The following is a 24,921-nucleotide window of genomic DNA, read 5'->3' as shown; positions in this document are numbered from 1 at the left end:
TATTGCCAGTGTTATAACTTCTAATTACCTTAATAATTAGGGCTCTGTCACTCATGATTGAGGTAACAGGCCCTAACACTAATGGGTATTAGAGATCTTGGACAAGGCATGTTTTGATGTTCTCATCGAGTTGCTTAGGATCGAAAGGAGCTATTTGCCCTTGGAAACCTAGCAGTTGCTATGCGGTGGCTGGGGCATCCTCACCGACACCTCCGGGGCTGCCTTGGTGGCTGCTGTGTTCACTCAAGAGGGAGGATGTACACTATTCACTGGGGACTGCGCAGGAAGTGCATGTGGGGCACTTATGGATGAAATTCTCTGAAATTAAATTGTCTCTGTTGCTTGTACTACAAAATAACAGTACAAACCCAGGCGTCAAATCAACTGGAATTTAAATGGAAAGGCACCAAAATTTCCTGCATGTACAGCTAGGATCTGCTACTAATTGATGAGGTGAGAGATTTGGAAGGAAATGGGAGGAGAGGAGAAAAATTGCTGCTCTGTGGAGAGTTATATGGGAGTCTGCAGAATGGGGAAATAGAGTCATGAGAAAGAATGAGGAGTGGAAGAAGAAAAGCTATGGGGGAGCATGGGGCAAAGCCAGGTGGGAGTCTGGAAAACAGGGAGAGTCATGTGGGAATGTGGGGAATGAGGAGGGTCCTGTGGGAGTATGGGGAATGGAGAGAGTCCTGTGGGATTATGGAAAGTGGGGAGAGTCAAGTGGGAGTTGGGGAATCGAGGAATGTCATGTGGAAATTTGGGAATGGGGGAGGGTCCTGTGGGAGCCGGGGGAGTGGGGGGAGTCACGTGGGAGTTGGGGAATCGAGGAATGTCATGTGGAAATTTGGGAATGGGGGAGAGTCCTGTAGGAATATGGGGAATTTTTGGAGTGATCTGCCTAGTAAATTTAAATAAATCTCTTTGTATATAACAGAAAAAACATGCAGAAGAAACATTTTAGGGATAATACTTGTAGTTATAATCGTGATTAAACCCCAGTGGGTTTAGTCACAGTCCTACGATGAAATCGGCCACTTCCGGACAGCATCTGGAGTGACAGCTCAACAAGGAGTATGTGCCTGCCGACCCCTCTTAACCCTAGGAACCAACGTGGCCTCTCCTTCCCCAGAGCCACTTTCTGGTCTCTTTAACTTTGTCATCTCATATTACTGTCATTTTTATTTTGATATGTTCTCTTCTGATTTTAAGTTCCTGGAAAATAAGTTGCATAAATTAGTCATCTGTGTTTCCATAGTGTTGAGCTTGTACTTTTCACAGAAATAGATACAACATAAGTATATGTTGAATTAACACATGAATGAATAGTTGGATAATTTAACAAAAAGGAAAATCTGTGATAAGCTGGATGTAAATGTAACACCAATTTTTCCTCTGAAGCAATGGATTTTGGATTTATTCACATACTTTATTAGGATATTTCCTGATATTTAAAAGCTGACTAGTAGAAATTAAGTTAATTCATTATAGAACAACTCATTTGTTGTATAACTGGACTTTTGAGCTGACCTCAAATGTATATAGTCAAACTCTAAAAATACATACAACAGAAAAAACAAGTTTGCTTTTGCAACAGTCACCCTCATAATGATTACAGCTTAGTCTTCCTACATCTTCCCAACTGAAGACAGCCTCCAGCCCAGATTTCTGCAAACATTGTTCAAGACATAGTGCCCTGGCTAGGCAGGAGACTCCTTCCAGCAGAGGACAGAGTCTCTCTGAGTGTGGAAGACCAACAAATGCCTGCAGCACAGTATGTCAGATCCTGGGTTAGACACTGCTGTGCCTTTGGATTTCATCTCACAGTATCCTACAAGACAGCCATACCATTGCCATATTCCAGCCACGCAAAATGATGGTTGAACCAGATCTGGTTTACCCTGAATGCTGTAATGTAGCACATGTGTGTCTAAAACCCATGGTGCTGTGCAAAGCCATGCGATGAAAACCACAGTACTTTATGGAGAAGGAGGTTCAGAAAACAATACTCAGAAACTTCAACGCTGGCACATTAAAAAAGGTGGAAGCTTAATGAAACGTTAACACGGTTCTTCCCATGTTACGTGGTTAACAAATACATAAATGCTACAATTAACACGGGACTTCTTCACCTTAAGAAAGCCCTGATGCTTGTCTATGAAAGGGGGCAGTGGAACGTTGCAGCTCCCGCATCATCCTGACTTGTGGAAGGGATTGAAATCGATCAGAAAGCTGTGACGTCAAGCGGGGTGGGGGTGAGCTCACAGCAACATGTGATGAGGGAGAGGCCGGTGGGCCTGGGGTGTGTGTGTGGTCTGTGTGCTCCTATGTGGCTCTTTTAGCTGGATGTGGTTTTCCTTGGGGGTGTGTGTGTGTGCTCTGTATGCTCCTATGTGGCTCTTTCAGCTGGATACGGTTTTTCACATCCATCTAATGTTTCCTGCAGAGGAAATCACACAGAAGCAAACACCACATTTACCTTCTGCTTAATCTATCAATTGCCCTGGAACAAGTTCCTGGGTTCAAAACCAGCATTACAGGAACACCCACTTCACTCACTCTTCTGCTGGCCCCCCTGCCTGTTGTGTCTGAGCAGTGCTTCATCCTGCCTGTGTGAACATCTCCTTGGATCCTCACGATAACTCCGGGAGGCAGAGCGTAAACCCTCACCACAGAACAAGGACATTTAGGATCAGAAGCATTCACAGACTTGTCTCAGATTCCCCATCTGGCAAGTGGCAGAGTCAGCACTAGAACCCGTGGCTCCAGCTTCAAGGTTATGGAGTCTTCAGCAAATACGATCTGAGTATTTGTAGCCAATGTAAGATGAAAGCTTAGAGAACAGAGGCCCATGAAACAAGAAAAAAAGAAAGAAAGAAAGAAGACAAGCTGGTGCACTCAGCTTATTCAGCAGAAACCTGGGCTTTCCACTGGGTCTATATGTGTTTTTTGTTCATTCCCTTGGTTTTCTGCTATTGCTCACAGGTATGAAAGGCTTAAGGAAATATGTAGAAAAAAAGCCATTCGTCCCCTGGCAAGTTTGGAGAAGAAAACCATTACACTGCTGTAGCAGTGGGCTCCTTATTCCCTTTCTGAGTCTCAGGGAGCAGGGCTGGAGAGTGTTTGCCCTGCAACAGGAAGGAGGGAAGAAAGACTTGGATGAGCTCCCAGAATTAAACCCAAGATGGAGAGTTGGCTTTAGACATGCCATATTTACAGATGGTGAAACATTAACGTGGAAATGACCAGCTGATCATTAGAAAGGTGGGCATCTTAAGAGACCTGCATTTAAAGAGTTGAAATATAACGAAAGTTAGTGAAGGAGAAGAGAGAGCCCAGAAGAGCCACCCTCTGCCTCTGGTGGGATTCAGTGGGTCAAATATCTCCCCTTCCACCAACACTCCATCCTGTGTCATCATTGTCTCCATCATCCCCATTAGCAAATAATGACTGTGTACCTCCTGAGTACAGGTCATGGTGCTGAGTGCTATGGGACGTATAAAGGTATGTTAGACATGTCCTTCCTCTCAAGACCTTACAACAGAGCTGGGAGAGAAGACACAGCTCTAGGAAAAGGTAACGAAATCAAAGCAATAGGACAAGAGCTAGCTATGTGATGCAGGTGCAGAATGTTTCAGGATTCCACGGAGGGAGACAGTCTTCTGTGGGACAGGCCCTGAAGGCTTCCTGGAGGAAGCAGAAATTGATTTCGAAAGCCAGAGAATGGAAAGACCTAATTTCAGGGGATAGGAAAAGGATGAGTTTGAAATATGAGGAAAAGTGAAAAGCAAGAATATTTAGTAGATTAGCAATTGATCTTGAGCAGAGAAAAGCTTGAAAGAGAGAACAAAGTACCATTAATAGCAGTTGGAATGGCTGAGATGATTTCAGGACAGAGTGCCTTTTGTTGAGACATGTTAAATCTATGGTGACAGAAGAACATTTGTGGGGAAATGCTCTGAAAATTATTGGGAATGTAGTTCCTGAGTTTGGGTTGTAGGGAGTGTTATGGGTTCAATTTTGTGCCCTCCCCTTAAATTCCCATGTTGAAGTCCTAACCTTCAGCACTTCAGAATGTGGCTTTATTTGGAAATAGGGCCAATGCAGATGTAATTAGTTAAGATGAAGTCATACTGGAGTAGGGGGGGGCCCCTGGTCCACCATGACTGGTGTCCTTCTCAAAAGAGAAGATTGGGATGCAAAAGCAGACAACATAGAGAAAAGACAATGTGAAGAGAGACAGGAAATGACAGCCATGCACAAGCCAAGTGCAGATGCCTGGAACAGGTTCTTTCCTCACAGCCTTCGGGGGAACCAACCCTGCAGACATCCTGGTCCTGCACTTTTAGCTTATAAACTTGTAATACAGTAACTTTCTGCCATCTAAGCGGTCAGGTCTGCGGTATTCCATTACAGCAACTCTGGCAAACTCCTATGGGTGGGAAGTGGGCCCAACACCAAGTGTTTAGGAGCCCCTCCTCTTCACATTTAAAGGAGGAGGTGAAAGGAGGGTTAGTAACAGAGAGCAGCCATTTACAAGAGGAAGGCGCTCATGGCCTCACAAAGCCCACCCAAGAGAAAGCAGAGAGAGGGAAGACATTGGCAGCCTCGGTGTTCAGAGAGGCCAAGGAGATAACTTTTCGAAAAAGTGGCCCAGGTTGTGCCCGGGTGTGAAAAAAAAACTTGAGCTTTATTCTGTAAGCAATGTGGAGCCCTGGAAGTTGTGTGAAGAAGGAGCTAACACAACAAAAGTAGTGATTTAGGAAGATGAGTGTGCCAGGGGTGTGGAGGATGGACCAGAGCAGACATCACTAGGGGCAGGCTGGACGGGAACAGATGAAGCTGAGGTGATGCAGTTGACAGCCTGGATGGAGAACAGGACTGCTTGGCAGAGACCAGTGAACCCAGATCCTTTGAGTAAGAATATCATGACACAGACAGTGGAATCAGTTAACAGTCATGCCCTTATGTGGGGTGTGTTTCTTCTAACCCACTTAACATGGGGGTGCTTCAGTGTGTAAGTAAATAATAAAACACATGGAAGGATGGAAATATTGACTATAAGGAAAGAAAAGAGAACTCTGTAGTATGGAATGGCATTTTCAAATGTAAAGTGACTTTCTAGAGAGTGTGGTTTTTATTGACAGACAAAAAATTAGAAATATATTTTCCATGGGCAAAAAAAAAATCCTACCTATATTAGTCTGTTCTTACACTGCTATAAAGATACTACCTGAGACTGGGTAATTTATAAACAATAGAAGTTTAATTGACTCACTGTTCTGCATGGCTGGGGAGGCCTCAGGAAATTTACAATCTTGGTGGAAGGCTAAGGAGACACAAGCTTGGACCTTCTCACATGACAGCAGGAGAGAGTGAGTACATGAATGAGGAAGTGCCACACTTTAAAACCATCAGCTCCTCTGAGAACTCGCTCACTATCATGAGAACAGCATGGGGGAAACTTCCCCCATGATCAAATCACTTCCCTCCTTCTACATATGGGGATTATAATTGGAGATGGGATTTGGATGGGGACAAAGAGCCAAACCATATCATTCTGTCCCTGGCCTCTCCTAAATCTCATGTCCTTTATAAATTTCAAAACCAGTCATGACTTCCCAACAGTCCCCCAAAGTCTTATCTCATTCTGGCTTAACTCAAAAGTCCAAGTCCAAAGTCTCATCTGAGACAAGGCAAGTCCCTTCCACCTATGAGCCTGTAAAATCCAAAGCAAGTTAGTTACTTCCAAGATACAGTGGGAGTACAGGCATTGGATAAATGCTCCCATTCTAAATGGGAGAAATTGGCTAAAACAAAGGGGCTACAGACCCCATGCAAATCCAAAATCCAGTGGGGAAGTCATCAAATCTTAAAGCTCTGAAATAATTTCCTTTAACTCCATGTCTCACATCCAGGTCACACTGATGCAAGAAGTGGGCTCCCACAGCCATGGACAGCTCCACCTCTGTGGCTTTGCAGCCCCCCTCCTGGCTGCTTTCATGGGCTGGTGTTGAGCATCTGTGGCTTTTCCAAGCACATGGTGCAAGCTGTCAGTGGATCTACCACTCTGGGTTCTGGAGGATGATGGCCCTCTTCTCAGAGCTCCACTAGGCAGTGCCCCAGTGGGAATTCTGTGTGGGTGCTCTAACCCCACATTTCCCTTCCTCACTGCCCTAGCAGAGGTTCTCCATGAGGGCTCTGCCATTGCAGCAGGATTCTGCCTAGACATCCAGGTATTTCTGTATATCCTCTGAAATCTAGGTGGAGGTTCCCAAACCTCAATTCTTGACTTCTGTGCACCTACAGGTCCAACACCACATGGAAGACACCAAGACTTGGGACTTGCACCCTCTGAAGCAGCACCCAAGCTGTACCTTGGCCCTTTTTAGTCATGGCTGGGGTTGGAGCAACTGGAACATAGGGCACCAAGTCCCAACGCTGCATACTGCAGGGGGGCCCTGGGCCCAGCCCACAAAACCATTTTGTCCTCCTAGTCCTCTGGGCCTGTGATGGGATGGGAGGGGCTGCTATCAAGATCTCTGACATGCCCTGGAGACATTTTCCTCATTGTCTTGGTAATTAACATTCAGGTCCTTGTAACTTATGCAAATTTCTGCAGCTGGCTTGAATTTCTCCCCAGAAAATGATTTTTTCTTTTCTACCACATCATCAAGCTGCAAATTTTTCAAACTTTCATGCCCTGCTTCCTTTTTAAACAAAAGTCCCAGTTTCAGACGATCTCTCTCAAGTTCAAAGTTCAACAGATCTCTAGGGCAGGGGCAAAAGGTTGCCTGTCTCTTTGCTAAAGCAAGAGTGACCTTTGATCCAGTTCCCAATAAGTTTCTCATCTCCATCTGAGACCACCTTAGCCTGGACTTCATTGTCCATATCACTAATAACAATTTGGTCAAAAACATTCAACAAATCTCTAAGAAGTTCCAAACTTTCTCACAACCCCCTGTCTTCTTCTGAGCTGTCCAAACTGTTCCAACCAGTTCCAAAGTCACTTCCACATTTTTGGGTATCTTTATACCAGTACCAACCTACCGGTACCAGTTTATTTTTCCATTTTCACACTGCTATAAAGAAATAACTGAGACTGGGTAATTTATAAAGGAAAGAGGTTTGATTGACTTACAGTTTTACATGGCTGGGGAGGCCTCAGGAAACTTATGATCATGGCAGAAGGCGAAGGGGAAGCAAGCACCTTCTTCACAAGGTGGCAGGAGAGAGAAGGACAATGTAGGAACTTCTAGACACTTATAAAACCATCAGATCTTGTGAGAATTTACTTACTATCACAGCATGGGGGGAACTTCCCCCATGATCCAATCACCTCCTTCCCACGTGGGGATTACAATTCAAGATGAGATTTGGGTGGGGACACAGAGCCAAACCATACCACCACCAAATTCTGAATTTCTAATAATGAAAGTCTATAGGATCTTAAAGAGTTTTTGCCGCACTTTCAGAAGTTTGTCCATGTTTCAAACCCAAAGTCTCTCCATTTTGGTTTACTATAATAGAATACCTGAGATTGAGTAATTTATATAAAAAAGTAAGTTATTTCTTACAGTTCTGGAGGCTGGGAAGTCCAGGAACATGGTGCTGGAATCTGGTGAGGAACTTCTTCCTGCATGATCTCAGGCAGAAGGCAGAAGGGCAAGAGTGCACAACAGCAGGAGAACAAGAGGTGGCTGAACCTACTTTATGACAAACCCACTCATGATAAGTCACCCACTCCTGAGAAAACAGCATTAACCCACTCATGAGGGCAGAGGCTTTATGACCTAATGACTTATCAGGCTCCACCTCTCAACACTGTTGCATTGGGGATGAAGTTTCTGACACATGCTTTTTGGGAGACACATTCAAACTATAGCATTCTTCCCCTGGCCCCCAACATTCAATGTCTTTCTCACAATGCTAAAGCCATTTATTCCACCCCAGTATTCCCAAAAAAGTCTTAACTCATTTCAGCATCAACTCAAAAGTCTGAAGTAAGTCTCACCTAAAGCAGATATGGGTGAGACTCAAGGCACAATTCATCCTGAGGCAAATTTCTCTCTGGCTGTGAGCCTGTCAAGTTAACAAATTATGTGTCTCTAAAATACAATGGTGGAGGCTGGGCACCATTGCTTACACTTGTAATCCTAACACTTTGGAAGGCTGAAGTGGGAGGATTGCTTGAGCCCAGGAGTTCGAAACCAGCCTGGGCAACATAGTGAGATCCTGTCTCTACGAAAAAAAAAAAAAAGTTGAGTGTGATGGCATACACCTGTAGTTCCAGCTACTTGGGAGGCTGAGGTAGGAGGATTGCTTGAGCCTGAGAGTTTGAGGCTGCAGTGAGCCATGATTGTGCCAATGCACTCCAGCCTGGATGACAGAGTAAGAGCCTGTTAGACCCTGACTAACAAACAAAAAACAAAAAATCCCCCCAAACCCCAAAATACAATAGTTAGACAGGCATGGGATAGATATTTCCATTCCAAAATGGAGGAATAGGCAAGAAGAAAGGAGTAACTGGTCCCAAATAAGTCCAAAACCCAATAAGGCAACATTAAGTCTTAATGTTCCAGAATAACGTCCTGGACTTCATGTCCCATATCCTAAGCACACTGGGGCAGGGATTGGGTTCCCAAGGCCTCCAGAAGCTTTCATGAGCTAGAGTCTTGTGCCTGCAGCTCTCCCAGGCTGGAGTTGCATACTGGTAGCTCTACAGTTATAGGGTTTTGGGGGCTGCTCTACTCCAACAGTTCCATGAGGCATTGTCCTAGTGGGAACTCTGCGGTGACTATTCCCCTGCCATGAGTCTCCACCTGAGTGACCAGGCTGTCTGTGACATCCTTTGGGGCTTTGGTTTATAGCCATCAGGTCCTCATGTGCCTTTGTGTCATACTTAAAAAATTTTTTTTGAGATGGAGGTCTTGCTATATTGTCCAGTTGGCCTGTAACTCCTGCAATCAAGCGATCCTCCTGCCTCAGCCTCTCAAGTAGCTGGGACTACAGACACAGGCCCCTGCAACTGAATGTCTGTGTTATGCTTAATATGTGTAAGCCCAAACTCCCCACTTTCTTATTGTCTTTAGGGCAGCACTGTTCTCATGCTTTTTCATTTTCTTGATCTCTCCAAGTCAAAGGTGCTCTATCAATCCTTGCTGCTTGGCTCATCCATTTGTATTGAAAGACAAAGTGGAAGCAAGGCCTATGGACATGACAGAGATCCTTTAGGCCACACAAGCCTTCAGATGGATAGGCCAGAAGCCACATCTGGACAGCCAGTCTGCCATTCAGACTCACAACTGACCCAACATTTCTCCTCCAAAGATTCCTATCTCCATTCCCCCAATCACTGCACTCCAGGCTGCAACACTCTACTTCAGTTTCTCAGGACTCTCCAGTTTTGCCACATTAAACACGTGACAGAGCACAATTATAATCACCCACTGCACTTCCATCTCCATCGCTCCCTGTGTGTGTTGGTGAAGGTGATGAATGTGACCTCGAAGCTGCTGTGACTTTCCAGGATCTTTTGGGTGGTGATTTTTTTCTATTGTCATTTAGTAGTGTCCAGAGGTTTTTAGAGGTGAAGGTAAAAAGTGCGTTGAGAGCTGGGGGCACACCTCTGCTTCTGAGATGCCTGCTTGTGAACCCTCTGCTTGGCACCTAATGCAGGAATGGGCCATCTAGGGACTCATTAACTCAAAAACAACCAACTGTTCAATCCTGGAGTTTATTGATGTGGGGCAGCCAACTTTGCTTCTAGTACCTGCTAGAATCTAGGTTTGTTAATGATTTCAAATGCTTTTGTAGGTTCAGTCAATTCAGGGTACTGGATAAAGACAGGCATTTAATTTTCTTGTAGTTTGGATATGAAGAAAATAAAATATTGGCTGTACTGGTAGCTGCTATGTGAACCTGAATTGTCAAGCTTGTTTGCCTGTGAGACAAGTGTAGTGCTTATTAGGTCACACAGTCTGAGCCTCCCTTTTCCATGAAAAATTTACATTGAGAATACCTAGAATAAGTGTATATGCTGTCGTCATTCTTGAATATTTGTATGGAGAACAGCAGGGAAACCTAAGTCTTATTCTTAGAAACTTGCTTTGATTACAATGACTAGTTTTTGAAAAAATCTATTTGACAATAAGTCTCAGTGACCATCCATCAACCTCTTTTTTTTTGAGATGGTGTCTCGCTCTGTCGCCCAGGCTGGAGTGCAGTGGCACAACCTGGGCTCACTGCAACCTCCACCTCCCGGGTTCAAGTGATCCTCCGGACTCAGCCTCCTGAGTAGCTGAGATTACAGGCACGCACCACCACATCTGGCTAATTTGTACTTTTAGTAGAAACAGGGTTTCACCATGTTGGTCAGGCTGTTGTCATCCTCTTTTTACTCTTTCTAGTCATGTCTCCTGGTCATAGTGAGACCAGCATAGGGAAGCCCCAGGGTATGTGCCAGGGCACCTGAGTTTCTCTCCAGGTGCATTTGGCCAGCTGGTCTGCAAATAACTGTTATGGAGACTGGGTCAGGACACTGGGGCTGAATTGCTGCCTTGCAGAGCAGTGACACTATGCAGTCCACAGCTGGAAAAAAATGATTGGATTCCTTTAAACTTTTTTTTAATTCAACCTGTGGAGGCTCTCCTTCTTTTAATAGAAAAAGAAGGTGTTTTTCTTCTGACTATTCTTATGCTTAACTTTTACTTAGCTTGGGTACTAGTTGGCCATTGATATAAGCTGCTTCAATAGTGCCCACAGCTCCCATTTCTTGAGTATTTGCTATGTGAAGGCCCTGTGCTAAGTTCATCAGGTGCATCTCATTGGTTCCTCTCAAAGCCCTGTGACACAGGTACAGTTTTATCCCCTCTTATCATGAGAAAAACAGGATGTAGGGTGGTTAAGTAACTTGCCTGAGGCCACAAGACTGGGAAGCGCAAGAACTGGAAATCCAGGCTGCATCATGGAAGATAACATTGACTCTTCTGTGGCACAAACTGTTTTGCAAAGATGCTTCTATACTTACTTATTTTTCTCTTTAATTTGATCATAAGTCCTATACATGTAGTCTTCACATACATATCATATAGATAGGTGTTTTAATTAATGAATAAGTTGGTTGAATCCCCAAATGACCCTATTTGACCTGCTACTGAATCGGTTTCTTTCCTATGTAAATAAAAATAAAATTAAAGATTATAAATCTAGTTTCGGTTTCATCACAGAGTAGTAGTGTGAACACGAGTAGGAATGTGAGAGTGTGTGACTTTGCCTTAGCACACTTAGTATCTGCCGACCACTGAGAGTGAACATCATTCATCATCCTTCTCAATTCGAGATGGAGGAAACAGTTACCATTATTATGGAAGCCTGTAGATATCTATAAAATGATTAAAACTCAACAAGCTAAGAATAAATCAAAGCCCACTGTGGCATTGGGTATTTTCATCTACATTTATTTTTAAGACAGGATAACCCAGAAGTGAGCTTGGGCTCTAGAAGATAATAATAAAGGTCCATTGCAATGGGCTCAACTTAATTACTCTATCCTGAAGGCATTTGGCTCTGTGAGATCTGAGAGGAGAAACAGTGAAGAGTTGAGTTGTTCACTGAGAATGCTTTGCCTCCAGCCTTCTAACCTTGGGACAAAATTCAAGGGAATACACGGTTATCATTAATGCTAAGGAAGATAATCCTAGGAGCATTGATACTTTCGAGTATTATCTTTAGCTTCCTGGAATTGTATCCTTAAGTAGCTTTATAGAGAGCATCACAGTGAGACACAATCCTGAGGCACAGATATTATCCCAAACTGGCGACCACCAAAGAACAGAGTGGTAGAAGATTCTGGAGGCAGCATGTATTTTAACGGGAAGCATATCAGGCTCAGACAAATGAACACGTAATATTCCTTAGGGCTTTTGGAGTAAATGCAGACTTAATAATTACTCTAATTGCTTCTGTTGTGATTCTACCTTTGAGTCTACATCAAACAAACATATAGAAAGTATTACACTTGCATTTAATCTACTCATTCTAGAAAAACTAACTCTTATTTCCTTCTTATATGCTTTCATTTGTCAAACAAGGCTAGAGATAAAAATTTTTATATTTAGTGATAAACATGTATTTAGTACCTAATAATGCAATTTTCTTCTATGCAGAATTTTAGTGCACTGACTATTCTGGAAGCCACAGCAATGCTGTCTGCCTTGAAGTTTATAATACAACCCATGAATCCCACAGGTAACGGTGATGAGAAATTTCCCATAATTCAGCACTTCTTTTGTCTTATGCATGAAGTTATGACAGCTGCCTTGTGATCTGGCACACTTTCAGATATTTTTCCAGAAAAATAAGGTTGCTCTTAACTAGGGCTGCAAAATGAGGGACATATGTATGTATGAATACAAACCAAAAGATTAGAGACGCTGAACCTCCCCTGCCCCACAATCATCTCTTCCATTTGCCCTGCCACTATGTCTAAAATGGCTGCCATGGTGTCTAAAATGGCCTCCATAGCTTACTAGCTCTATGACAAGTTACTCTTCCAAGCCAAGTTTCTTCATCAGTAACCAAGAGTAATAGTAATACCTCCTTCAGAGTGTTGTGGTGGGAATTAAAAGACAGAATATGGCACTTCTTAAACTTGCTAAATTGCTGTAAATAACAAAGATGCTTTTGAAAAAAATATATTTTCCAGCTCTTCCATAAGGATTTCAACTCGGAGAGTCTTAGAGAGTGCAGAAAGGGTGAGAATCTGTATGTTTAACAAGCAATACATAACAATTCTAGGACATAAGAGAGAAGTAAAGTGCTCCCCTCAGTAAGTTCTCAATAGATAGAGTTAGGAGTCTCCTAAAATGACATACACTTGGCCCACTAGTCCCAGTGAGAGCTAGATAACCCAGCCATTCATCTGTTCATCTGCTTGTAGGGAATATATTCCTGAGGGAATAAACTCAAGCTAGGCTAAATTTTTTTCAACATTATTTTTTTCCTTAGATCCCTAACTTTCACTATATACAAAAATGAGCTCAAAAAGGATTAAAGACTTAAATGTAAGATCTAAAACTATGAAACTACAAGAGAAAATACAGGGGAAGGAAAATGCTTCAACATTCTTTTTCATTTGATTTTTTTGTCATACAAAGAGCTGTACGTAATTAATGTATAAAAATTGGTGAGATTAGAGATAGGTATAGACCTGGGAAACCATGACCACAATCCATGCCATAAACCATCCAGCACATCCCAAAGTTTCCTCTGAAAACTATGAAACTACAAGAGAAAATACAGGGGAAGGAAAATGCTTCAACATTCTTTTTCATTTGATTTTTTTGTCATACAAAGAGCTGTACGTAATTGATGTATAAAAATTGGTGAGATTAGATATAGGTATAGACCTGGGAAACCATGACCACAATCCATGCCATAAACCATCCAGCACATCCCAAAGTTTCCTCTGATCTTTTATTTTTATCATCATTATTATTATTTTGATAAAAACACTTAACATAAGATCTATTCTCTTAGCAAATGTTTAAGTATACAATACAGTATTGTTAATTATAGGAACTATACTGTACAGTAGGTCTTTAGAATTTGTATTACTGGTATAACTAAAATTTTGTACCCTTTAGCGAATTCTTCCCCACTTCTCTCACACCAAGCCCCTGGCCACCACCATGCCACTCTCTGCTTTGATGAATTTGACTATTTCAGATTTATCATAAAGTGGTATCATGTTGCAAATGACAGGATTTCCTTCTTTGTAAGGCTAACTGGTAGTCCCTTGTGTATACTACATCTTTCTCATTAATTTATCCATTGATGGGCATTTAGGTGTTTCCATGGCTTTGCCATTGTGAATAAAGCTGCTGTGAGGATGGGGGTGCAGATATCTCTTTGAGATGCTTATTTCAATTCCTTTGAATTTATACCCAGAAGTGTGATTGCTGGATCATATGGTATTTCTATTTTTAAATTTTTGAAGAGCCTCCATACTGTTTTCTATAAGGGCTGTACTAATTTACATCCCACTAGCAGTGTACAAGGCTCCCTTTCCCCCACATCCTCACCAACACTTGCTACCTTTTGACTTTTTTTTCTTTTTTTGAGATGGAGTCTTGCTGTGTTGCCCAGGCTGGAGTGTAGTGGTGCGATCTCGGCTCACTGCAACCTCCTCCTCCTGGGTTCAAGCAATTATCCTGCCTCAGCCTCCTGAGTAACTGGGATTATAGGCATCCACCATCCTGTCTGGCTAATTTTTGTATTTTTGTAGAGATAGGGTTTCACCATAGTGGCCAGGCTGGTCTTGAACTCCTGACCTCAGGTGATCCACCCATCTTGGCCTTCCAAAGTGCTGGGATTACAGGTGTGAGCCACTGTGCCTGGCCACCTTTTGACTTTTTGATATTAGCTGTTCTAACAGGTGTGACATGATATCTCATTGCATTTTTAAGAAATAAAAATTGTATATATTTAAAATGTACAAGGTGAGGTTTTGATATACATATACATTGTAAAATTGAAATTCTTAGTTGATTTTTCTATTGGTTTTCTATCTCTATGTCATTTATTTCTGCTCTAATCTTTATTATTTTCTTCCTTCTGACTTTGGGCTTTGTTTATTCTTCTTTTTCTGGTTCCTTGGGATGTAATGTTAGGTTGTTTATTTGGGGTCTTCCTTTTTTCTGTGAACTTTTATTGCTATAAACTGCCCTCTTAGAAATGCTTTTGCTGCATCCCATGAGTTTGTGATGTTGTGGCTAGGTGAAGTTTTGAAGAAGGAAAAGTGCTAGGAAATTTCAGATAATGGGGCTGCCAGTGAAGGAAGGAAGGTAAAACAAGATGGGGATGTGGAAGCCCTGAAGTGTCAGGTGGGTCCTGATCTTTAGTTGCTGCCAGAGGGCAGGCAGACTCTTCCCTGAGAAGCCTCACTCACCTCCTGAATTTTGTCATTTGGAGCCAGGCATGTATGGGCACCTGCCCTCTACCCCCACAGCGGTGATTCTCACCTTGGATGTGGGTTAGAAGCCCTTGGGAAGGGCTCTGGCTTCCTGGGTGAGGCCAGCCCTGCATCTGAGACTGCGGGAAAGCTGCCTTGAGGATTCCCTGGGGTGGGGGATCCCAGCTCGAGCATCTACACTAGATGCAGACTTCGAAGTCACTGACCAAGTTTTCAAGCTCTGCCCTGTTCTCTGGGTGACCTGGGGTCTGTGTGGCTACTGCTGCCTCATTCCTACTTTTGTCCAATTGTCCTTTTCTACTGAGACCACACACAAAGCTGATTCCCTTAGTCAGAAATAGAGCAAGTGTACCAGTTCATTTCAGAGGAAACGTGGTGACAAACCACCAGATATTTCATGATAAAGCAGAAAGTCGGAGCCCTACTCGCTGCCAGCAAGCGTCAGGGACAAGTCCTGGGCTCCACCCACTTTGCTCAGCGCTGCTCAAAGGTGCTGGAGAGCCTAGGATGTGGCGATTCTTTCCGGTACCTTTGTTTGTGAAATTCATCATTTATGTACAAAGTGTTTTCTGCGTTTTTACAGGCTGAATTGTGTGTCCCCCCAAAATTAGTGAATGTAACCACATTCCTTAGTGCGAATCAGTCTTCACAGATGTAATTCGTTAAGATGAGGTCACAGTGGAGTAGGTGGCCCAATCCCATAAAACCATGTCCTTATGGAGGGTAAAAATCGGGACCCACGCACCACGCAGGGAGAACGCCAGGAGAAGACCAAGGCTGAAGCTGCGATCATGCATGGGCCAGGCAAGGAGAACATCTCCGGTTGCAGCGAACCACAGAAGCAGGAGAGAGGTTGGAACCGAGTCCCCCACAGCCTCAGGAGGAGCTGGCTCTGCCCACACCTGGACCTCAGTCTGCGGCCTCCAGAGCTGAGAGGGGACACATTTCTGCTGTTCAAGCCTCCTGGGCTGTGGCACTTTGTTACGGCAGCCCCAGGACACAAATACTGGCTCCTACCGATGGCCTGTCCTTCTCTCTTTTTTTTGTCCAAATCTTTCCTCTTTGGCCAAAACAAAAGAGTAGAGAGATGGATGCCGTAGATCCACACACGGATGAGCTTGACTGGATTAGGTTAAAAGTAACGTGGCCTATGAGATTTTTTTTTTGGTATAAATATGAAGAGAAAAAATGAGTCTGAAGATGGAGTTGTTGATTCTGAGTCCGTGCAGGAGTAGCGAGAGGACCACAGCAGAGCCAGCGGAAGAAAGCCCAGCAGGGTGGGACGGCGTGCAGGGGTGCGACACAGACATGCTGGGGACCTGTGTCCACGTGTGCACGCATGTGCCTCACGTGCTCTATATCTGTGACTGTGCAACTTGGCATGTGCAAGTCTGTCCCCCAGCACCACCATGAAACCCTAGCCATGCCCAGGAACAAGGTGTTACTGCGACCTCATTTTACCAGTGAGCAAAACACAGCAGAGACACTGAGTGCCTTAGCCCAGGTACCACAAGCAGTATTCTGTGGTAGAAGAAATCTGAGTAAGGAAGAGGCTCAGTCATTTCTTCTCTTGTCATGAGCTTGGGGAGGCAGGGAGGGCTCTGGGGCTCGACATAAGCTCCATCCCCTGGGCATTACTGCCCAGAGCTCAGGGACCTGACCTAACAGCTGGCTCCGGGCCAGACTCAGGCCACCCTCTTCCCTAGGCTCTTGTGGAGTGATTGGGGACATCTCTGCTGCTCTGGGTGCCTCTGTGCACCTGGAGAAGCCTCATTTTTGAGGCTGGATGGAAAAACAGAGAACACACACCCATCCAGGAGATAGCTAAGTGAGGATTCTGTAGATGAGTGGCTAGGCATTGCTCAGAAAGCTGCCCGTTCATGCTTCTCTCCCGTTACACTCCTGTCCATCCCAGTCCCTTCTCTGTCCCTGTTCTCAGCATCACAGCAGCTGGATCTGGCCCCTTGTCCTCTAATGCTTCTATGGGGCATTTGTCCACGTGCCCCTGACTATTCTACCTTGATAGCAACCTCCATTAACCTCCATGGAACACCTTGGAGTCAGCAAGTTATTTATAGTCAAAACCGAGGGTCAGGAGGGCCCTGGACGGCTCCACTCTCCTCCCTTCCTCTCCCCTCCCCTCCCCTTCCCTCCCCTCCCCTCATGTCCCCCTGCTGTCACAGATGGCCTCTGGTTTGTGATCCTGGGATTGGGATCCTGGTCCGTGTGTTAGAGTATCAAAAAAATACACATCTACACCAGAAACATTTTAACGTAAAACACATACATATTTTGCTGTAAGTCCAATGTCTTTTGATGGGTTCTTTCTCTATCTCCCATGTTGGAGTACAGTAGTGTGATCATAGCTCACTGCAGCTTCGAACTCCTGGACTCAAGTGATTTTCCCACGTCAGCCTCCCTAGTAGCTGGGACTACAAGCACACTACCATGTCTGGCTAATTAAAAAAATGATTTGTAGAGATGAGGCCTCATTATGTTGACCAGGCTGGAATTGAACTCCTGGCCTGAAATGATCCTCTTGCCTCAGCCTCTCAATGCCAAAGTCTTTTCTTTGAGTTTCGGGCTGCTGACTGGCTTATGGGGTCTTCTTTCTTGTATAAACACCACCTATCTAAGATGCGTCTTTTAAGGTTCCTCAAAGTGAAACAATGAACTAAAACCATGTGTCAAACAATCTGAATGTCGTCTTAGGCTTCAATGATTTTCCTCAATAATTTACGCTCGTGTATTTTTAAAAGCAATTTGATTTTGTCTGGTCATTCCAAAATACCCAATTTAATTTTCACAGAAAAAAACAATTCATTCTTTTTTTTTGTTGTTGTTGCATTCATATTTCAGTGGCTTATGTAACATTTAAATTACAAATTACAACAGTGATTGCAAAGGGTATTTAAAAAAAAGCATTGGGGCAAATAGCAATCCACCTGGTAGGAGAGAAGTGTGTTTGTGAGCCTTGCTGTTGGGGTTCAGAGGCCATTTATGGAGGGTGGGTGGAGATGGGGTGGCTGTGGAAGGCCTGCCCTGGCTGCTGCCGTCCTCGGCCACCGCGTCTCTCCTTTCCTTGGTGTCTACACTGTGCCTTGGGGCCTGGAATCCCCTGCCATGCCTCCCATTCTAAGGTGGCAGCTGGCAGGACTGCTGGCTACCTTCTCCTCAGGGCCATTGAAAAAGTAAAACGTCACTGGAACAGTTTGGGTGTTTCTTGGCTTCATTCATCTCTTATTCATCCAGTCGCTCGCTGAATATTAATGCTTGGCCAGAGTCAGCTGATTTTAATTCCGGCTGCAAATTATGCTGCCAAGAATTCCCTCCAAGGCCAAGCAAGTTCTTTGCTATGTACCATTTTGGGGAAAGAACCCATGTCTTCACCAGAGTTCCATATATTTGAATAGGTGGGAATTGCTATAATGGAGCTGGCAGGAATGAGTGAACAGGTCCCCAAATCAAGACTGAAATGAAGTCTAAGAAGCTCTCCCCATGGTCCATAAACCCACAGGTGGCAGCCACTGACTGCCATGCATCCCGTAATCTGGAGCTCATGCTGACGGCTCTCACACAGGCGCAGACTCCCTTTTTCCTTTCTATTTTACTGGGATAAAATATGTAGAGCACAAAATTTTCCGTTTTAGCCATTTTCAGTGTACAGTTCAGCAGCATTCATCACACTCACAATGTGGTACAAACATCACCATTATCTGTTGCCAAGACTTTTCCATTACCCCAAAGGAAAACTCTGTGGCCATTAAACAAGTAGCCTCCAGACCCTGCCAGCTCCTTCTTAGCTTTGGGTTTTGGTGAGCCAGCATAGGTATGCCTTTTTACATATCTCGATCTGATCACATATTTAACTAAGAAATACATACTCCTGGTTTTGGGTAAGTGAACACCAAAACACAATCACTTTACATGTGGGACTTGCATTATGCAATAGATGAGTTCATGAAAGTAATCTACTTAGATTCTTTGAAATCCAATAAGGTTATAAATGATCTGGTAAAAATGGAGTGAGGGTGACATAAAAAATAATTCATAGTTTGAGAAATTGCATGTGTTCTGCAAATTTATATTTTACACCTTGGATTTTTCCTAAAGCGAGATTTATGTATCATTCCAAAACCTTTGTATCCAGGAAAAATCATGATCATTTTCCTTATGTATAAAAATACTATGTTTTATAACCAATAAATACATTTGGCCAATTTTAGCTCAGTGAAATATACTGTCACCCTAAATTCTATGTCAAGAGGCTTCCTCAGATCATACCTGCCCTTTGTGCTGGCCCCACACTGTTCAGAACTGACGTATTTTGGGTTGGAGAAAGATCTTGTCCTCGACAAATATTAGAAATTTGAGCATATCAAATAAATGCCAATAAAAAAATACATGTTTCTGGATTTGTGCTAGCAGTTATCAAAACAGTAACAGCAGTGATAAACGTTTTAGAGATTGAGCACTAGGAACTTTTAAGACCTTCATTATATGCCAGTCTCAGTAAGCGACGTCTAAGAAATGCAAACATCTTTAAAAGCAAATAAATACTTTTAAAAGAATAATTTCTTTCAGCCTGCACACTGATTTTACAAAAACATTTCTTAAAAAAAAAAAAAGAAATCTCATTTCAAGACGTATGTATTCCAGCAGACTTGGAGAAGGAAAGGGATTCCCAGGTCCTTATCATGCGGAAGACACCACGGCGGCCATAATCCTAAACGCACGCAGGGCAACAACAGTTCAGTCTCGAGGCGCGGAGCAATGGCTCGGAGGCTGGGAGCAGAAAGTGTGTTTCCAGAGCATAATCCGGCGGATACACTGTGTTCTTTGCAAAAGGTTGCGAGGCCTTGGCCTAATAAGCATAATCTCATTACACTGCAAATAAAAGTTTCCTATTTATCTCCAGATTTCAAATGAATCTAATAAGGCTTATGATACAGTCACCCAATACCCTAATCATATTTCTGCCTATCTAAAAGCAATCAGTAATTGTGTTACAGCAGAACGTGCTGACAATACCTCTGACACAGAAAGGAGAATGAGAGCCCAGCTGTACTAATTAAATTAAATGCTAGGCTGATGGAATACATTTGCTGAAGCCGGGAGAGTATGGGTGCAGAATTAATAAGCATTACAGCCTAGAGCGGGAGATGATATCATAATGGATGCAGGGTTTTGATGTTGAGAGCCTCATTCAGATTCAATGTACCATAATGTACAGATCTGACAGCTGCTTAGAGAGGTGCAGAGCCTCGGACAAATTGCCCAGGAACTTTCTGGTTTCTGTGCTCCTCGGTGAGGAACATCATATTTTGCATCGCCCTTACAGCCTAAAACCCACCCACCCAGGCCGCGCCCTGGTTGGCCACTGTCCCCTCCGAGGTGAGCTCCTCCCCAGCGAGCTCCATCCTTCCCCCACCTCCGCCTCGCCGGCTCCGAAACGCTCCTGTCCATTCTGAAAAGATGGGTATTGAGGCACCCCAACAGGCCAGGAAAAGATCCCTGTAGGATTATTTTCTACAAGGCCTTTTCCTGATTTTCCTTAAAAAAGCAAAACCCAGGGCCCGCGGGATCCAGCCACGCAGTGGTCCTCTGGGCTGCGGCCAGGCCGCTCCGGAGGTGGCTGTAAGACCCCAGCGAGCCCCCAGCGAGCTCCCTGGCACCGCGGGCCGCCGCCGCCCCCCCGCCCGCCCACCCACCCACCCGCTTTGGTGCCAGCGCAGCGCGATCCCTGCTCATCAATCAGCCGCGCTATCTCGCCGGCTGCAGAGCTGAAGCCGCGGGGCCGGCCCGGCCAGCCAGGGCTCATTATCACGGGAATTTTGACAGGATATTAAATTTACTAATCCTGAACTTTCCGGACTGACCCTCACGGGGAACAGACAATGCTGCTGTCTGCTGGGGAAGCACTTTCTCCGTTTCCTTTCTTCCTTCAACGACCTCACCCGGTTCCCTCCTGCCCGGTGTCCCTCATGGGAACAAGCCTCCCCGGCCCAGGCCTCCAGTCTCCCTGGAGCACAGGCGCTGCCCAGACCCCTCCTCCCGGCAGGCGCCCACGGAAGGGCGGCCACATACCCACTCCAAGGACCCAGAGATCCGGCCAGGCACGGCCCAGAGGAGCTGCGGTCACTGATGGGCTTGGGGGGCAAACGGGCTGAAATGCGGCAGTTCCAGGGGGCCTACCTCCATGCACACAGGCTGTCACGGAGAGACGCCAGCACACTTGTCAAAGATCACACCCCATCCTGCACACATGCATGCCCACATGCACCTCACACAGGCACACTCCCTCCACACGTGTGGTGCACACACTCTCCACACGTGTACACAACAACCACATCTGTGTACACACACATGCATACCCACATACATGTACAGGACACCCACATCTGTGTACATACACGTGCATGCATACCCACACAGTACACATGTGCACACACACCCATACTCTACACACATGTACATGACACCCACATGTTGCGTACACACTGGCACACATACCCACACACGTACACGACACCAACATCTGTGTACACTCACATGCATACCCACACACATGTACATGACACCCACATCTATGTACATTCACACACATACCAGCACACATGTACACGACACCCACATCTGTGTACACACACTTGCATACTCGCACACATGTATACATGCGCACACACTACACACGTGTACACAACACCCACATCTGCATACACAGGCATACCCACACATGTACACATGTGCACACACACTCATACTCTACACACATCTGTGTACACACACCCACACACATGTACATGACACCCACATCTGTGTACACATAGGCACACATACCCACACACATACACATGTGCAGTCATACTCTACACACATGTACACACGCCTGCACACATGTACACATCTGTGTACACACTCACATATAACTGCACACATGTACACAACACCCACATCTATGTACGCACACATATCTGCACATATGTACACATGTGCACACACTACACGTGTGTACATGACATCCACATCTGTGTACATACTCTTGCATGCATACCTGCACACATGTACAAGACACCCATATCTGTGTACATACATGCCCACACACATGTACATATGTGCACACAGTCATACTTTACACATGTGTACACAACACCCACATCTGTCTACACATACATACCTGCACACATGTACCTGACACCCACATCTGTGTATGCACACTTACATACACACATGTACATGACACCCACATCTGTGTACACACACGCATACCACACACGTGTACACATGTGCATATACACTCATACTTTACACATGTGTACACGACACCCGCATCTGTGTACACACACTTTCATACATACTCCCACACATGTACACGACACATCTGTGTACACACACATGCATACCCACACACGTATACGCATGTGCACACACACTTATACTCTGCACATGTGTACACGACACCCACATCTGTGTACACACACTCACATGGATACCCACGCACGTGTACACATATGCACACATCCATGAACACTTGTGCACACACCTAGCGCACAAACAGGCGTGCACCCGTGTATGCCTTACGCACACACAAGCAGGCACCGTCAGTCCTGTGTAGTGTGGGGTCACCTGTGAGTCACCCCGGGAACACGCAGCTCCACAGGCGGCGCCCATCTGTTAAAATTTTGAAAAGACAGCCCACACTGGCTCTGTTGAGAGCGGCTGCCTCTACGTTCTTGCTGCCCCCTCACAAATCAGACACTGCACATATGTTGTGATAGCAACTGTTACTCTTTGTTTATTCCCTCTATAAATAAACTCGGAGCTGCATCAGACCCTGTGAATATTTTTAGAAAGTTTCGGGCATCACAGCGGAATTCAGCATCTTGCCCATTCATAAGCTTTCTGTGCTTCAGAAAACCAAACACGCGACAGATTCCCACTGACATTCTGCCAGTTTGATCTCTAAATAATTCAGCATTAAAATCTGGTCAGCTCTCCTACCTCCCCGAAAAACTCCTGCAAACACTGTGCCAATTAAGTTGCTGAAAACAGCAGATTTGCACTGATACCATCCAGATAAAGCTGACCATTAAATCGCAATTTAACATCCCCGGGCAGCAGTGGCTGCTGACAGCCTCCAAAGCTTGCAATCTCATTTAACCCCCTCCTGTCAGGAGCAGGCCCGCCCTCTCAGCATAATGCCGCCAAATTAGACCTGACAGGGCAACAAGAGAAAGAAAAACCTCTTTAGCTTAAAAGTCAGGCCACAGTGGGCAACCCTGACCTTCAGCGTCCCCTGCTCAGCCCCCTGGGTTCTCCAGGGACCCCGGAGACATTTACGCAGAGAGAGGAGGAGAGAGATGGACAGAGGGGAGTGGGGCGGGGGCCCCGGCCACAAGGCACTTGGATTTCCCAGGGGGCAAATTACAGAGAATTTTCCTAGACAATGGAAGAAAATTTCACCTGGGCTTTTTCAAGTCTTTCTTTGGTAATAAAAGATGAACCCTGATGGTTCTGTTCAAACTACTGTGGCTCAATATTTCCCTGTGCCTGTAGTGCCCTCTGACTCCGAAGCCAGGGGACGCCTCTGTTGGAACACAGAGCCCCCTCCATGCCGCAGACGCCTGCATTTTAGATGAGGCCATCTTAGCTGGTGGCTGCAGCCTTCAAAGCCCTCCCCATAACTGGCATTTACCAGAGCTCTGTTTTCATAAGGAAATCAGGCTGCCTCCGAGACCCCTGACCACACGCGCTCTCGCCGCTGTCCTTTCCACCCGCTCCACCTGTTCTGCTAAGAGAGGGTGCGGGAAAAGGAACGGAAGGAGGGGAGGGTCCCGGCACAGCCGATGGGAGACGATTTTCACAACAGTCAGGAGGATTTCTCCAAATCCAGACGGAGCTACTCTCAGAGAAACGGCTACCCCACGTTTCACACCCGACAAACGAGGACAGAGGCAGTTGTAACTAAAATGACTTCCATGTATATTCTAGTTCAAATCAGTCATTAATCTAACAGAGATTCCTTTGCAAACACACACTTTTTGTTTTTTCTCCTGTACAAAGAAAAATGCTTTAAGGCCAAAAGTTAGAAGGGTGTCACCCATCAGTTTTGTAACACATCCTGGACCTTAAGAAAACCGAAGGCAATACCCCACTCTAAAATCCTGTCCGTCTCTTCTTCCTCCTCTTCAGTCCTCTCCTTGCCTGAATTTCATAAATAGATTGTGATTGCACAAGTCAAAAACTTCTCAAAGTCGAGCTTAAAAGAGACAGAGAGTCAGAGACAGAGAGAGAGAGGGAGAGAGAAGTCCTCCTCCTCCTGGAGTCACTCCCTCTTTAGGCAGCGGTTCAACACCTGTAAGAAGGCCTTTTTAAAAAGGAGAGAAGAGCCAAGCTGCTTGCAGGAACAGAGCCCCAGGCGTCAGCGCAGTCTGCTGCCCACCTCTGCGGTGCCCCAACCTCCTGTGACTTACCGTCCGGGCTCCCAGGGCCACACCGCAGGAAGGACTTCCTAGCGCTCCTGGAAACCGCTGCCCTCCACGCCGTGGTCGCGACCTGCTGCAGAGGCCGGCTCTCGGGGGCTACTGACCCACTCAAGTTCCGAAGTCTCCCCCCTCCATTTTTTCCCCTCCTTAAGTTAGACGAAATGGCTATAGCAGAACCCACCTCAATGTTTATTTCGACTTCCCGGGGCTGCAGTGGAGTGAAGTCCTGCCTGCCCACGCTTTTCTGCAATGGAGTGGTTTATTTAATTTGTCAGAATAATGGGAGCGGCTGAATGAGAGACAGAGAATGCAGTGTGGTATAAAAGAAACAAAGGCTAAAAGTACCACTATTTTGATTCCCTTTTTAAAATTACTTCCAAAGTGTGGTATCTATTGTGAAGAATAATGCTGAACAAAGCAGTGTCTTGGCAAGATTCACAGAGCTTATTCACCCACAGCCAGTTC

General features: G+C 45.1%; 1 long non-coding RNA gene across 1 annotated transcript in view; it reads right to left on the bottom strand.

Moving 5' to 3' along the window:
• SOX1-OT (SOX1 overlapping transcript) overlaps nucleotides 1-24,721 on the bottom strand; it is a 135,706-nt gene extending 110,985 nt beyond the window's left edge. The window contains exon 1 of the long non-coding RNA NR_120392.1: nucleotides 24,638-24,721. This is a non-coding gene — a long non-coding RNA (SOX1 overlapping transcript). The remainder of the gene's footprint in view (nucleotides 1-24,637) is intronic.
• Between the last annotated feature and the right edge of the window lie 200 nt (nucleotides 24,722-24,921).

This window comes from Homo sapiens, chromosome 13 (assembly GCF_000001405.40).
Source record: "Homo sapiens chromosome 13, GRCh38.p14 Primary Assembly".
Classification (NCBI taxonomy): Eukaryota; Metazoa; Chordata; class Mammalia; order Primates; family Hominidae; genus Homo; species Homo sapiens.
Note: the sequence above shows the minus strand (reverse complement) of the source record. Positions and strands in the feature narration are given on the sequence as shown.